The sequence below is a fragment of the Homo sapiens genome, chromosome 3 (assembly GCF_000001405.40).
Source record: "Homo sapiens chromosome 3, GRCh38.p14 Primary Assembly".
Taxonomy (NCBI): domain Eukaryota; kingdom Metazoa; phylum Chordata; class Mammalia; order Primates; family Hominidae; genus Homo; species Homo sapiens.
The window spans coordinates 106,413,102-106,429,459 of NC_000003.12; the positions used below are offsets into that span (position 1 = coordinate 106,413,102).

The 16,358-nt window shown below is 36.0% G+C and overlaps 1 long non-coding RNA gene across 1 annotated transcript in view; it reads right to left on the bottom strand.

Moving 5' to 3' along the window:
• The window catches only part of LOC101929485 (uncharacterized), a 254,397-nt gene that overhangs the window by 34,987 nt on the left and 203,052 nt on the right, over nucleotides 1–16,358 (bottom strand). Inside the window, exons 6-11 of the long non-coding RNA XR_007095992.1 lie at nucleotides 15,706–15,837; nucleotides 14,803–15,010; nucleotides 11,794–11,940; nucleotides 10,165–10,295; nucleotides 4,433–4,661; nucleotides 1,399–1,488 (exon numbers count right to left, since the gene is read on the bottom strand). This is a non-coding gene — a long non-coding RNA (uncharacterized LOC101929485). The remainder of the gene's footprint in view (nucleotides 1–1,398; nucleotides 1,489–4,432; nucleotides 4,662–10,164; nucleotides 10,296–11,793; nucleotides 11,941–14,802; nucleotides 15,011–15,705; nucleotides 15,838–16,358) is intronic.

Consider the following 16,358-nt stretch of genomic DNA (forward strand, 5'->3'; position numbering starts at 1 on the left):
GTGGCATCAGCAATTCAAGACCATCTTTCCTACCCTCTTCCATGTCGCTTTCAATGATAGTTAAAACCGGGTACTATGAAGTTTCACCTGGTTTTTGGTTCTTATAAAGGTGCTTTTGTGTAAATAGTTGTTAAATTTGGTGTTTCTGCAGGGGCATGATCAGTGGAGCCTTCCATTTGGCCATTTTGCTCTGCCCCTCTCTTGACACATTTTTAGTCCTAAGACATCACGCTAATTGCTCCAGTGTCATCCATTGCCTCCTGGGGAAAGCAGTTTAATACACAGAAGGAAAAAAATTCCATTGGGTTGCCTCATAAATATTTTTAATTCATGGAAGAGAAACATATCTTAAAATTAATACTTTCAGGTGCTTCAAATCAAAGCACTGAAATTGATTTTGGCATCATTGGAGACTAGCAACAACTTAACTCTTCATGGAAGAGACTGTGAACCACATATATATGTATCTCATTAAACCCCAGCTAAATATGTATACAAGGCAATTTCCACTTAACTGAATTGTCCCATAGTTGAATTATCTGACAAGAGGAGAAATGTACTGTAATGAAAGTCAGAGTGAACGGAGGCAGTTTTCTGAATCACTTGTGGTTAAATATCTTACTTTTGCAAATTCTTTTAAAAAGCATATGAGCATTGCTAAAGCTCCTCTTAGAACCTTGGAAGGAGCCTGAGCAAGTGAGAGGCTGTGAAATTTCAACTTCATTAGATTTACTATAATCCTGTCTCCAGGGTGACAACGTTACACAAAGTAGGTGAGCAGAGCTATGTTTTATTTCTCTAAAGCTGACATTTCCAGAGTTACAACATCAATCTTTCCAATTTAGGTAAACCCTGTCATATCAAGTTTATCACTTAATATCATTTGGGCAACTATTCTATTAAGTTGGCACTTTCCTAGGATAAGCTCTCTGGAAGTGTTTACATATGATCCTGCCATCAAGAGGAATATGGACTCAGAATCATCTTATATCCACAACCAGCCTCTTCTGAGGGTAACATCCCACTTGGTTCCTATCATCATATGTTTGCACCCATTGTTGCTGTCCTAGGTGTCCAAGGTTGCACCATATCCACTATCTGAACCTGCTTTGGACCTGGTGGCTCACTTCAGTCATTTCCAAGGCTCTCTTAAATGCTATAGAAACATTTCAGATGTTCCCCTTCATCACAATGTGTGATGGTGCCTGTGTGTCCACCACCAAGCATATCTCTTCGCATTTGCAATTTTGTGAGATTTTTCTAATTCTAAATAATCATTCAATTATAGATCCAGCTTTGCATTTATGATTTTGTGTCCTTTTTTCCTTAAACAATCACCTCCCCAATTACATATGCTTCAAGCCCTTGAAACCTAACTGACTAGAAATATTATCATACCTTTTATAGATGCTTAAATGCAAGCTCATTGAGAGCAAAAATTTTTCTTTTTTTTTTCTCATGGCTATACATCAACAGTCTATAGAGGATCTGAAATATACAAGGCACTCAATCAGTATCAATGAAAACAATGAAAGTCGTTTAAACTTTGTATTTCTAAACTAAAGAACCCTAATATTTTATTTGTTCTTATTCAGTACACTTACTCCATCCAGTTTCCTGTATTAGATTTTCCCCACAAACTGCATGATGTTTACATATAAAGAAATGTAAAAAAATTTTATTGGAACAACTGGTAATTTTAAAAGAATTTATTTTCTATCATAGTAAAGAATTCAGTGTGGAACATATGCAAACACAGGACATCCAAAAAAGAACAAGGTGAGGGGGGAAGAAACTAAAGTCAAAACAGGTAAGATATAAGAGGTAAGAAAAAGATGAGAAAGGACAAGGGCTGAGTGGAAAAACTGCTTAACTAGATTTTCCTTTTCATCTTAAGAGAAACTCAAAGAGAATATAAAAATTCAGCTTTCACATTTATCCAAATAGCCAACCTATGCTATTTCTATAGATAGATGTTTGAAAACCTTCAACCTCATCTTTATGTAGTATTTACTGAGTAACAAAAGCACCCTTAGGGATAAACAGTTAAAATGACAGGCTAGCTCATTTTATATATAGGTGAAAAGTAGCACAAACCACATGTATCAGAACTGGAATGCTAAGTGAAGCTGTGAAGTACAAGCAACAGGGCCAGAGATGTTACTGTTGCGACTAACTTCAATAGACTAGACTAAATAAATAATGAAAATTTAAAATTTGGGGCCACTGATATTAAAATTTTATGACTTAGGAGAGTTTTAAGTTTTAGAATAGTAGCTCTTACTCATTCAACTCTAACCTCAGATCATGCCTTAATTTTTTTTTTCTGATAGTAATAACGGAAACGAATACAAATAAAACTAAAGATTTAAAATTTCAAAAAGGAATCTTTTTTAAAAAAAGCTAGAGTAATTTTTTAATCCCTTTCTGTCCCCAGCATCCTTGATTTCCCCTGTAATTTGGCGTAATACCTCTTTCTTAGTGCTATGCAAGTCTTGTCCATATTGCTTATCTAAACTATCATCTTCCTTTGGGCTTGTAGGAACATTCACAGAAAGAGAACTCTCTTTCTTCCCAAGATGCTTTTTTTCCCCAAAGCTCACATTTCTATGCATAAATGCATATGTATCTATTTTGATGTATCTATGTTTAATAGCCTCCATGAAGATCAGATTTTCTGTAAAATAACTTTTCTAAATGTATATCACTCTAATGATTTATTTTATTCCTTTGGATAGTTTAACACATTTATACAACAATTCTTTAAATGTTTGGTTATACAATGATGCAACTCAACCTCAATTACATAGAAAAACCTAAACAGAGAAGCATTCTAATAAGGATATAGTGGGAATCCATAGGTTAGCTGGTTTATGTTATCAGTAAACTGCAGCTGAATAAAATGGAGATAACACCATCTAGTGCTACAAGGTCTCAAGTATAAATTAAGTAATGTCAATGAAAACAATATATTTGAAGTTCCTTGAGAAAAAGGCTATATAACATTTGAGAGATATCATTATTGATGATTAAGATACGTTTAAGAATTAACCTTTACTGAATATCTGCTATATTCTCGAGACACAGTGTGCTAAATTCTTTATAGGTATTCTTGTATTTAATTCTCAGAACTCTAAAATATAGGCACTATTATTGGCCCTGTTTTTCTGATAAATAATTGAAGCAGAGATCGTTTAAATAATTTGTCCAAGGATATACTGCAAGTAAATTTTATATTCAGTAATTAAAACTCAATCAATCTAATTTTGGAGAAGAATTTCTTGAGTCCTAAACAAGTGTTTCCCAACTTGGGATAAATTTAACTATTTCAGTGGTTTTTTTTATCTTAATGTGTATTCAAAAATATAGCATATTTAGCTCATGATTTTACAGATATGATTTTTGAGACTGAGATTATAATAGACATTTAATTTTTAAAAGTGAATTAATTTAAATGTAAGTATTAAACAATAGTCAAGGTGATACTCAGATACAGTAAAATCAGGAAAGCGGTACATGATTGAATTTGGGGAAATTTGCCAATGACCTGTTATGCATCTCTAGACAGCAGCATAGGCAAGTGTGTTCTATTCGGTGCTGGTACTAGGCGAGATCGATGAGCTGATTTTCAGTACCTTCAACATTTCAGGAATTCCTCATTAACTGTGTGTCCTGATGATACTCTTTAACTACTAAGGTACCATTCTCTGTGTATCTGGTATTCATCGTCTCTCTCCAAATTTATCTGACCTATATTCATTCCTGAAATGTCATGCTTCCTGGGATATTATCTAATAGGTTTCTTCTACAAGCTAAATTTTTGTAACAGCAACATTTATTACCTAAACCGTAGGAGTGAATAATTATACTTATTTCAAACATTGTGTCACAGCCAGGACGTTAGTTCCAGGCAGAAGGCCCGGATTCTCTTGATGCTCCTTAAATCATACCAGGCCAATGTGATGTCAAACTAGTTGTGAAGGTGACGCTCCTTTTATTACCAATAGGAGTAACAGTGTTTTGAAATACAGTTGACCCTTGAACAACATAGGTTTGGACTGCATAGGTTCAGTGTATGAGGATTTTGTTCAGTAAATATATTGGAAAAAATTTTGGTGATTTGTGACAATTTGAAGAAATTCCTAGGTGAATTAGCCTAGAAATATCAGAAAAAACTAAGAAAAAGGTATGTCATGAATGCATAAGACATATGTAGATACTAGTGTATTTTATAATTTACTATTATAAAATATACACAAATCTCTTGTAAAAAGTTAAAATTTCTCAAAACCTATGCACACAAACACAGACTGGACATAGTGCCATTCACAGTTGGCAGAAATGTAAACAAACATAAAGACGCAGATTAGATCATAACTGCATAAAATTAACTGTAGTCCATAGTGTACTACTGTAATAATTTTGTAGTCACCTCTTGTTGTTATTGCTGTGAGTTCCAGCGTTGTGAGTATCCACTTAAAACACCACGTGACACTAGTCATCTCCACCTGAGCGCTTCATCTCTCCCATAAATTGCATATTGTGGTAAAACATGATCCCTCTCCGTTCTCTCCTGTTTTTCATCGTGTTTAGTGCAATACCAGAAACCTGGATTAACACCATGGGACCAGTATGAAATGCCACTGGTGATGCTGAAAGCGCTCCCGAGAAGCAGAGAAAAGTCATGACATTAGAAGAAAAAGTTGGATTCCTTGGTATGTACGCTATATCGAGGTCTGCAGCTGTGGTTGCCCACCATATCAAACTGACAATTCGTCTTGTATACAGATGGTGTAAAATTACACCAGGGATAAATACAGTACAGCATTGTAAATGTATTTTCTCTTCCTTATGGTTTTCTTAACATTTTCTTTTCTCTAGCTTACTTTATTGTTATAATACAATATATAATAGATATACAAAATATGTGTTAACTGTTTATGTTATTGGTAAAGCTTCAGGTCAATAAAAGGCTATTACTAGTTAAGTTTGGGGGCAGTTAAAAGTTTTATGCAAATTTTTGAACGCACAGGGGGTCAGTGCCCCAATCCCCACATCTTTTAAAGGTCAATTGTATATGTTTGTTTGATCTCACAAGAGAGACAATGTTTCCACTTAAATAGGGAATTAAGTTTCATGACGACTTCATTTGATTACTTAATTTCAAGCCTCGTCTGCAACTGTGAATATTTACTGAGAGTCCGTTGTGTACCAGCCACTATTTTAGGCACTGAGGATACAAAGAATAGAGAAACAGTCCCTACTTTCAGATATTTTATGGAGTGTGTGTGAGTGAGTGCGTGTGTGTGTGTGTGTGTGTGTGTGTGTGTGTGTGTGTTCTGGAATGAGATGGAGTAGGAGTAGCAACCAGGGCTAGCGTGGACACAAATGAATAAGTGTGCTGTAGCTCAGTATGTTCTAGGGTAGCATGCTTAGGCAGGGAGTGTCTTTTGGTATAGGGGAGGAACATTATGTCACTGAGTCCATGGATGCTTAAGGAAGGGTTCCTGGAGGAAGCATACTTTGAGCTGAGTCTTCAAGAAAAAGTAAGGGTCAGCCAAAAAAACAAAAATGAAAAAGAACATTTAGGCCAGAAGAAACAGAATGAGCAAAGACCCGGAAGACAAAGAGAGCTTGTCACTGTTGGGGAAGAGCAAATAGGTCACCATGGTAAAGATTACCTGGAGCTGGAATTTAATCCAAACTCTTTCCTCTATACTATGTGATTCTGTACGCTCCTTATAGGATACAAGCCCAGAGTGTGGAGATATAATCAGAAATTACACCCCTTGACATGAAAGTTAATGATCATTAATATAAAACTAATGAAATTAACTACTGCATTTAGTTAATGGCCCACTATTTAAAATTCCAAAATTCCTCAGAAAGATACTAAGTTAAAATGTAATTAATGTAATATCAGGTAAAATCAATGTGAATTTGTTTATTTGTTCATTTGTTCAACAAATATTTATTAAAGACCTATTATGTGTTAGGAATTATGCTGTTGCAGATGCACTGATGAGCAAGCTATGCCCTGTGAATCTGAACACATGACAATTTTATAACAAAAATAGTCTGCCTTGAGCCTGGAACACAAGAGACAAGACAAACAGCAAATATTGTTCAATATAATCCTGGCCTTATTTATCAGAATGGGCTGCTTGGAGGTGTCCTGGTCTGCTCAGCAGGTTTATCCTTATCTTTAAGGTGGGCACGTACTGTTGATAAGAGTATTTCAGAAAATCATCCAGTATCTTTATTTTGGCTCTTCGTTCATGAAAATACTTTCTGACAGTAATTTTGATTTTCCATCAAGAAATAAGATGTATTAAAACAATGAGCAAAAAAACAGCTGTAGCCTACATCTCTTGCCTATCCTAATCCTTACTTTTAGTTAATAATACATTATGTCTGATCAACCAACACTTGTGCTTTAGCACTTATGACTATTCTCTGGGACGTGAGATGTCATCACTGCTATGGGAACTGACAGGGCACATTTCAGAATCAAACATTCTGTCTGAGGGAGTCAGCATAAGAGGAGGTTAGTCTCTGTGGCTTATCGTCTCAGCCACTGCCTTTCCCTTTATCTTATATTAATTGCTCCAGGCAGTTTATTATGGACATTCATACAAAGAAAATAGAATAGCACAATAAACTACCATGTACCCAGAGTCCATGACCAAAAAATATATTAGTATGTAGCCCTAAACAATATCAAAACATAACCTCAATGACAGTGATTATTTAAAAATGTACAATAGCTCCTTAATGTCACTGAATATTTACTTAGTATTAAAATTCCCAATTATCTCATATATTTTATTTTTCTTGCTGCTTATTTGAATCAAGATCAAATAAGGTTACATCGCAATTGGTTGATAAGATGTTTAAGTCTTTATTCTGTAAGGATCCCCTGTAAATTTGTTTTCTCACTTGCAATTTAAATGTTAGAGGAGAAAAAAAAAAAAAAACCTAACTGCTGATTGCATCCCTGTAGTGTCATTTGACATGTTCATCAGTCATCTGTATTTCCATAAAATTAGCATTTGGATCTAAAGCCTTCCTCAAAATCAAGTTTCTCTTTCATTTTATTTATTTATTTTTGACAAGATTACTTCAAAGACAGAATGCTTTTTCAAGAGACACGTAAAGTCTAATCATTTCTCTTTTGTGTGATGTTAGCAGCTATAGATCCTTAATGCTAGACTCTAAATAACTTTTAGATGAATCAACTTATAGTTTTAACTATCTTTCAAGGAAATCTTATATCCTCCATACCCTTATTAACTAAATATAGAAACAAATCATTTTATATTATTTCTTCTTTTTCCAAGAAAGAGACATAAATAGAGAAAGAGAAAGAGAAGGAAGAAAAGAAGTGAGGGAGTGAGGAAGAAAGAGGGATAGGGAAAGAGAAGGGTGAGGGGAGAGAGCGAAATATCACTGAAAAGAAAGAAACATTCTTAGGAATCATAATTCACAGTAATATCTGGCAAGTTATTTCATTGATGCTATAGAAATTCTGATGAATAAAAGCCATTATCTTGATACAAATGCTAAAGTACACAACTATTTATATAATTTCAAGTCTCATAAGACTTCAACACTATGAAGATTATTTCTCTAACTTGGAAATTGTTCTATTTATATCTGCTAACCCTGAGATTGAACACAGTGAACCATGAAAATGTCCCACTATTAAGGTCACACAGGAAGTCAATAGCAGAAATGAGAATGTAACTAACTTACATATGTTGACAACACTTAACACAATATTATAAAATCTTTCTTTAACTAAGAAGCGCCAATAGAGATTCAGTTAAGGAAGAGTTCAAGTTGGGTCAAACGGTTTAAAAAATAGCTCAAAAGGTAGGCAGTATTTTATTTTAGCCTCCATGAGTGACTCAAATGTTGAGAGGGAGATTAGAAGGCACTGAAAAATGGAAGGTAGTGGAGTGGAAATGGAGAGTGGCCTAGTTTGGATAGAGTGAGGTAGAGTAAAGCTGGATGAAAAGCTTGGGAATGTGGATGACGACCGTATTCTCATTAGTAGTCGAGTATACCAGCTTTGGAAATAAATAGTCTACAGTACAAATTTTAGCCCAGCCTCTTAAGTAGTGGTGTGACTATGTTAGTCTGAGTCCTCTGAGAAGCACATAACAAGATGTAATTGGAAGTGCAAGAGATTGATTGGGGAAAACGCCTATGAGAAAAAGTGGGAGGGAGCCAGAGAAGGTTGAGAAAGTTGTCAGACCGTAATGTAAGTCTAACCCCTGTGAAGGAGAAAGAGAAGGAGGGAAAGAAGGTTTTAGACAGCCGTGTAGCTCCAGTAAGTTTCAACAAACTTGACAGGGTGCCCTTGAGCCGAAGTCATTCATCTGAGGAGTCTTGTATCTCCCAGGATGATCCTGCATTAGTATCCCAGCTGCACTCTGTCATTGGCAAAGAGCAGTCATGGAAATTGTGACCTTGGTGCACACATGGTGATGGATTTTAGAGTCTAGTAGCTGGAGACATCATGCATTACACTACCCACTGTGAAAGCTGCATTTTTTTGGCTGTTAGGATGGCCCTGAGCAACTAACTTTGAGTTGCCATTCCATCATTTACCAGTGGGAAATAAAATGCTTATTTCATTGAATTGTTGACAATTAAATGAGTACATATCTATAAAGTTGGTAAAATATAGTATAGAAGTTGTGGTTTCTGACATGATATTGGTGACTTTGATGATAATGGTAAATAAATGTAGGGTTAAGAATTTTTGTTCAATGGGATTAGAGATCATGTAATGCATAAAGTTTTCTTGGCAGAAGAAGTCACCATTTCCCATGGGATTTAGAGGTTAAGCAGTGGTAAGCAAGTAGAGGTTATTACTAATCTTTATAAAAGATAGAGAATGAAGAAATCCCATCAGAAAATTGTCACATTAAGTAAGGCAATGTAGCAGAGATAATGTTAGCTATAATCAGGGAAGAAGGGAAAGAGAAATACTATGGAAAATTATTCATCTGTGGACATGACATCTGAGTAGATGTGTAAGGCTGGAGGAATTTAAAGAACTTACTTGATAAATCAAAGCCCTAGAGAATATAGAACATTACATAGGATTGGAGCATAAGCAGAAGGATTGACAGTGGTTAAAATATTTCTTGTGCAGAATAGATAAATCCATAGATACAGAAAGTAGATTAGTGGCTGCCAGGGGCTGCGAGAGGGGGGAATGGAGAATGACTACTAAATGGGTATAGAATATTTTGCGGGGAGGTGAAAATGTGCTAAAATTGACTGTGGTGGTGGTTGCACAATTTTGTGAATATACTGAAAAGCATTGAATAATGCACTTTAAATGAGAGAATTATGGTTGACCCTTGAATGGCCTGGGTTTGAACTGTGCAGGTCCACTTATACACTGATTTTTTTTTTCAATAAATATAATTCCTCCATAAAAAGAATATTTCTTTCTGAGAAATAGTAAAAGGGAAAAGAGAGATAAAAGCTATGGAGTGATTTTGGAAATAAAAAAGATGGAAGATGAGTATTTTTATTTGTAAAGCCTTGAATTTCTCAGTAAACTAGGGAGCAATATCACCACTCCTCAACTAACCGGTAAAATAATTTCCTTTACTTGCTAAATTCTAGTCAGCCATCCTGTATTGATCACATTTCCCCTGCTGATGCTCTTTAAAATTTCTGGAAGATTTTCTACTCATTCTTGATGGTATTCATAAAATTATTCCATTAAGGCACAATTCAATATTTTATTGAATTAATTTATTTAGATTGAGTCTGATTACTTAGGTATCACGATAATCACCTTGGAAACATCTGAATAAAAGAACTCAATTAATTTAATAAATTATTTATTTACTCTTGCATTCCAGATGTAATGAAAGAATCAGTTTAATCCATACCTATGAATTTACCAGCTTGCCTTGTCAAATGAAGATATGGTAACAAATGTAGATGTCACCCATAAAACCTTTCTTTACAAAAATTAGTCTGGAAACATGATCAAGTAATTTACATTCACAAACTGTAGATTAAGGATCCATAGTGATGGCATTACTGTTACTTTATCTTTATAATAATTTTTACTCTGAAATGAAATTCTGATTTTTAAACAATTTAGAAATAGCTAATTTTGATCCTACTTACGCATTCAACATTATTATGCATTAAATTACTTTATTTTCTTGAAGAGTTGTATTTGTTAAGGACAGCCATCAATAAACTGGTACCTTGATTATGGTCTCCTGGTATATTCCCCCAGAAAAACTCAAGAGAAGCTGTGTGGTAGAGACATAATAGGACAAAGTTATTTATATAGACTTTGGTACAACTGTGACCTTTTCAAACCAGAATCATCCATGCCTGTCTTCATTAGAGTTGAGCCTCAACCAAGATAAAGTTCAAGTAACAGAGGGAACACATCAGCTTGACAAGACTGTCTTCAATATATTTGTAGTCATAATTTGCAAAATGATATGATGCATTTTCCCCTATCTATTTGACAAATTGGTGGCTTTTTTGAATTTTATTTCAAAAGCCACATGTGTGGCTGCAAAGCATCTCTGCTTTCTGGTAATTTTATTACAAACACTTAAGACTGAATGACATGCTGAATGGAGCACCGCATTTTTGAAAAAAAAAAAAAAAATACTTGATGAGAAAAATCATGCCTGGTAATTCGTGTGCAAGGAGTCAGATCTAGAATCTAGAGGGAAAAGTAGACGCACAGCCTGGGGAAGTCAATACTGGGGGCTGTCTTTCATGTTATACTAATCTTGACATTACCATTGTATTTGGCAGCTGTTACCCACACTCCCGCAAATAAATCTCTGCCATTACTCTCAGAGAAACTCCCCGTCATTCTTATGTGAGATGTCTTATAAATGTGCAAACAAGTATTCCTCTAATTAGAATAGGCATCAGATTAATAAGAAAGTTGGATTCTGAATCATCCCTCTGCTATATCCTAAAGCTTTTTGGCAGACGGAAAGAGGTGTTTCATCTCAATTCTTTTTGTTTCCTTGCAGTGTTCTCAGAAACTCCCACAAGACAATAAAAATGAGTCAACAGAAGCACCTCGTGGTTGACAGTGTCTTGTTGAAGATAAAGGTTATTCTTTATATTAATTTATAAAAGACATTAGGAGCATGTTCCCTTATAAGAGGACATTAAGAGCAGCCAGGCATGTATTCTCCTCTTGTCTGCTACTGACACCTGGTTTCAAGGAACTCTCAATCTCTGCTCAGACCCTCCCTTTATGGAGCAAATAACCTAAAAAGCTCAGGAATATCAAAAATTCAGAAGCCAAAATGCACTCTTATATTTGGGATATATCTACTCCTTCTTAAAATGAAAATATATCTGCAATAGTTCATAATTTATCTTAAAAGAGATGCAGATGATCAAGAGATTGAGACTGTCCTGGCCAACATGGTGAAAACCCATCTCTAATAAAAATACAAAAATTAGCTGGGCATGGTGGCATGCACCTGCAGTCCCAGCTACTCGGGAGGTTAAGGCAGGAGAATTACTTGAACTCGGGAGGCAGAGGTTGCAGTGAGCCAAGATCGTGCCACTGCACTCCAGCCTGGCGATAGAGTGAGACTCCGTCTAAAAAAAAAAAACAAGATGCAGATGGCAGGCTTAAAGGATAGTTATTTGGAATACATCTGGACTGACTGCATTTTACACACATATATACTCGTGTATTTTATACACACACGCACATCTCTCTCTCCATATATATGTATTACCAAACATCTGAGTTTAACTTACCTTATGTAATTAACTGTATTTGATCTTTCAGATTTAGTAACTAAGAACCAGTTGTTACCCATATGCAGTATTTCTTTACTCTGTGGTGCTCTGGGGGATGTGAATTTATAAAATTGCTGTTAAGTTATTTTCATTCTTGTTGGTATACTGAAAAAGAAAACAGAGAAAAAACCACACTGAGCTACATACATTCCTACTTCCTGGTCCAAATAATTTGTTGCTAAGAGACTGTAAGACTTCCTTGGGTTATTTTTGATTTCTTTTGTTTGTGGTTATGTTTTTGGCTTTCATATGTTTTTATTAAGTGTAATATTATCTGCTTTGCCTGGCTCTTCAAAGCAGAAGCTCAACCATAACAACGTGAGTGTTGAGAAATACTGTTAACAAGATCAAGATATATACACAAATATGCGCTGCCATCAGCCTTTCTCACATTGGGAAAGTATTTAGGAAAAAGAAGCAGAGTGCTTTGTTCAAAGCAACTACAAATCCATGGCCACAAGTGCCATCATTTTGTTATTTTCAACTTTGCCCTCTCTACCTTGCTTTTCACATTCGTTGATTCTCCTATGATGCTTTCTCTTTTTCTAATTTTATCTCAAATTCTCTTCTCTCTCCTGGCTGCATGCTTCTGTTTGTTTGTTTGATTGTTTGTTTGTGTTTCCTCCTACACCTACTCCTCAATTTCATTCTTCCTCATTTTCTTTAGAATTACTTTTTTTTTTTTTAATTATCTTACTCTTCCTCCTCATCCTGTCCTCCAGCTATTTGTTCATATTTTGTTTTTTCTGTAGGGGAGGAAATTAAGTGATTTATGTTCAGTGAGATAGAAAGGAGAGGAGAGGAGAGGAGAGGACAACAGAAGAGAGAAGAGGACAAGGGGAAGAAAGTGGGGGCAGGCAGGAGGAGACACATATGGTCCTTTTGAGTTATTTAGCTTCCAAATTATGAGAGCTGAGCTAAAGGTATTTGAATCTCTTTCCTGAAAGATGGAATGTCTTCATTGTCAGCTCAGCTCTCATATGTTGGAACCTCCTGATATACACACATTTTACCCAGTTATTAAATTCTAGATACTACTATGAATGGATTTTTCACATCAAATTACGATCCCAATTCAATTGACTTTAAGATAAGAAGATTATCCAATGAGCCTGATCTAATCATAGGAGCTCTTAGATCTGAGTCAAGAGGTCAGAGACATAAAATGTCAGAGATTCAAAATCAGAAAGAGTGGCTGCTGCTGTCCTGGAAGTAAACAAACACAACTGAGGAGCTCAGGGTGACCTCTAGGAGCCAAGCGTGGTCTCTGGCCAGCATTTAGTAAAAAAAATAGGGAGTGTCCCACAACTACAAGAAACTGAATTCTGCCAATGACATTAATGAGCTTGGAGGAAGACACAGCCTCAGAGCAGAATGACAGTGTGACTGACACTTGGCTGCAGTCTTGATTGCAGCCCTGTGAAACCCTGAAGAGAAAACCCAATTATACCATGCTCAGACAAAGAAACTGTAAGACAATAAATTAACATTGTTTTAAGCCACCAATTCTGTGGTAATTTATGGTGCATTAATAGAAAATGAATACATTTTTCATATATAGATGGCAAGAGAGCAAGAGCTTATTAAATAGATCTACTGTTGCTGTGTCAGGCCTTCATCTGCTAAAATTATCTTTAACAAAGAAAATTTTTTATGGTTTTGGAAAGAAATTAAAAAGTCTCAAAAGACCGGTTTAATTGCTTATAATATTTATATGTATAGGTATAGTTAATATAGATGCTGGAAATAATTCATTTTAAGTCCTTTAAATAAGAAATTTAGAATACAGGAAACTGCATTGAAAAAATTACTGTTACAACATCACAAGTATTCATTGATCTTAACTTCTGGATGCTCAGCAAAGGCAATAGAATCACTTTTGTTTTAAAATTACTATTTCTTTTTTTTTTTTTTTTTTTTTTTTTGAGACGGAGTCTTGCTCTGTCGCCCAGGCTGGAGTGCAGTGGCGGGATCTCGGCTCACTGCAAGCTCCGCCTCCCGGGTTCACGCCATTCTCCTGCCTCAGCCTCCCAAGTAGCTGGGACTACAGGCGCCCGCCACCACGCCCGGCTAATTTTTTGTATTTTTAGTAGAGACGGGGTTTCACCGTTTTAGCCGGGATGGTCTCGATCTCCTGACCTCGTGATCCGCCCGCCTCGGCCTCCCAAAGTGCTGGGATTACAGGCGTGAGCCACCGCGCCCGGCCTAAAATTACTATTTCTAAGTGCCTTAATGGAGAGCCTCAAAATACTGTGAAAAAAAACCAAAACTTGGAATCACCAGAATTTCTTCCCTTTCTTTCCCATTTTTATCCTTAATGGAGAAAGCACATGTCCACGATTTGAGGGCAAGGAATAGCATAATGAAACTTGGAGGAAGATTTCATTTTTTTTTTCACATTTTTCCCAGTGTACAGTTTGCTGTTAACCCATGCCTCTCCATTGTATGATATAGACGACACCTAACGCCCATTTTCCTCTTTCTTCCTCCCAAGAGAGGCCCATTAATCCAGAGATTCACAGTATATCTAGCTCTCAAGAAGAATTTTGATTAGTTTTAAGCCAGTCAGCAAATGACATCCCCTAGTCTGGACGTGGACATGTGAATTAAGTTTCCCAATCAGATTGAAGAGAAGAAATATTTTCTATGTTTGAAGGAGAAATTTCCCCTTTCCTTTTCTGCCAGTAGCAAATAGGAATTAATGCCACTGTGATGGTCACTGACAGCCATCCTGAAACCACTGGACAACCAGGCTTAGGAGGTAGCTAATTCTGAGGAAAGCAGAGGACCTGAGTCCTTCATTACATTGGGCCTCTCATTACAACACACCAGGAGCCCACTCTGCCTCTGGACTTCCAGTTATATTGGATAATAACTTTTTTTATTTGTTAAGCCACTTTGAGTGGGGGTTTTTCTGTTATCTGAAGCTCAAATATCTTAACAGATAAATGTGGGATCAACGCTCACTGTCAGTATGCTGTTCAAACTTCAGCTGAGCTTCATTCTCAAATGTAAAGCATTTCAAAGACCTGTAGAATTTCATCTCTAGTTTCCCAGGCAACTATTACATGTCACTCATAGATGTTCCGAAGCATACAGGTAATATTCCATCTCATCACCTCAATGTTAAATCCAGAGAAAGACAAATGAAATGGGTGCCAATAAATCCTCAAGGCTGCAGAGATAAAAGAAAAGAATGAAAATCCAGGATGCAACAATCTATTCTACTATCTAATCTCCCTTTTTCCACTCTTTGTTTTCATTTTTTTTTAATGCTGCTCTGAGAGATCCAAAATTAGACATGAATTTTCTTGAAGGTTAAGTCTTCTTTTTGCATTTGTTTCCAGGACACACCTGACCCTCACATACAAGAAACACTGCCTTCTGCAGGGAAAAGATTCAACAATTCCAAGTCCGTCATCTAAGATCCTTTACTCTCTTTTCTCTACAAGATAAGAATAAAATTCAATCACGGACCTAAGTAGGTATAATAGACATTAATATAAATCTTTTAAATACTAATACTCTTTCCTATAAACATCTATTCAATAAGGCTAAAAGATGAAAATAAAATCAAAAATTTGCTTTTTGTCATTCTGGTAATGCTGTTCTTCATCATAGACAATAACTTGGAGATAACTTCAAGCCAGAGATGGTAGCTTTGCTCATAGTTGCTTTGGATGGTAATCAAATGAGACTTTCGTTTATGTCACAGATGGAAGCTTGCAAGTCAAAACATTCAAAAGAAATGAAGATTTCTACATACCCAAGAACTAATGAGCTAGCCAGTGAGTGAGTCATTATCCATTTATGTCACAGATGGAAGCTTCTAAGTCAAAACATTCAGAAGAAATGAAGATTTCTACATACCCAAGAACCACTCAGCTAGCCAGTGAGTGAGTCATCATCCCTCACTTGGCCTGCTCTTTGGCTCCATACTGGCTTCTTGGCTCCTGTTCTTTACCTGCTACAGTTTTTGTCCACATAGTAGCCAGAATGATTCTATTGAAATGAAACAGACTATGTCATTTAAGCTCAAAAACCTCGAACAACTTTTCATCTCACTCAGAATACTATGATTGTGTGGAACCCATATTATATGACCTCTGGCTAACTTGATTGAATTTATACCTCACCATTCTTTCCTTCTCAAAGTTCACTCCATCAGCCCTGACTTTTTGGTGGTGAAACCAAGTATGCTTCCATTCACTGCCTCTGCACCTACATAGCTTCTGCTTGTGAAGCTCTTCCTGGAGACATTTACTTGGCTCACACTCTCCAATCAAGTCTTTGTTAGAATGTCCCTTATTTGCGTGTTGCTCCTACCTAATCTTTATAAAATGGCACCCTTTGCATCACTCTCCATCCCTTAACCATTTTTTCCTAGCTTTTTTTTTTTCCCACAGCATTTGTCATCATTGGAAATACTGCATAACCATTTATTGTCTATCATTGCCAATTACAATGTGAGTTCCATGACATTTGGAACTTCCTTTTGCTTGTTGCTATGTCCCAGAACCTAG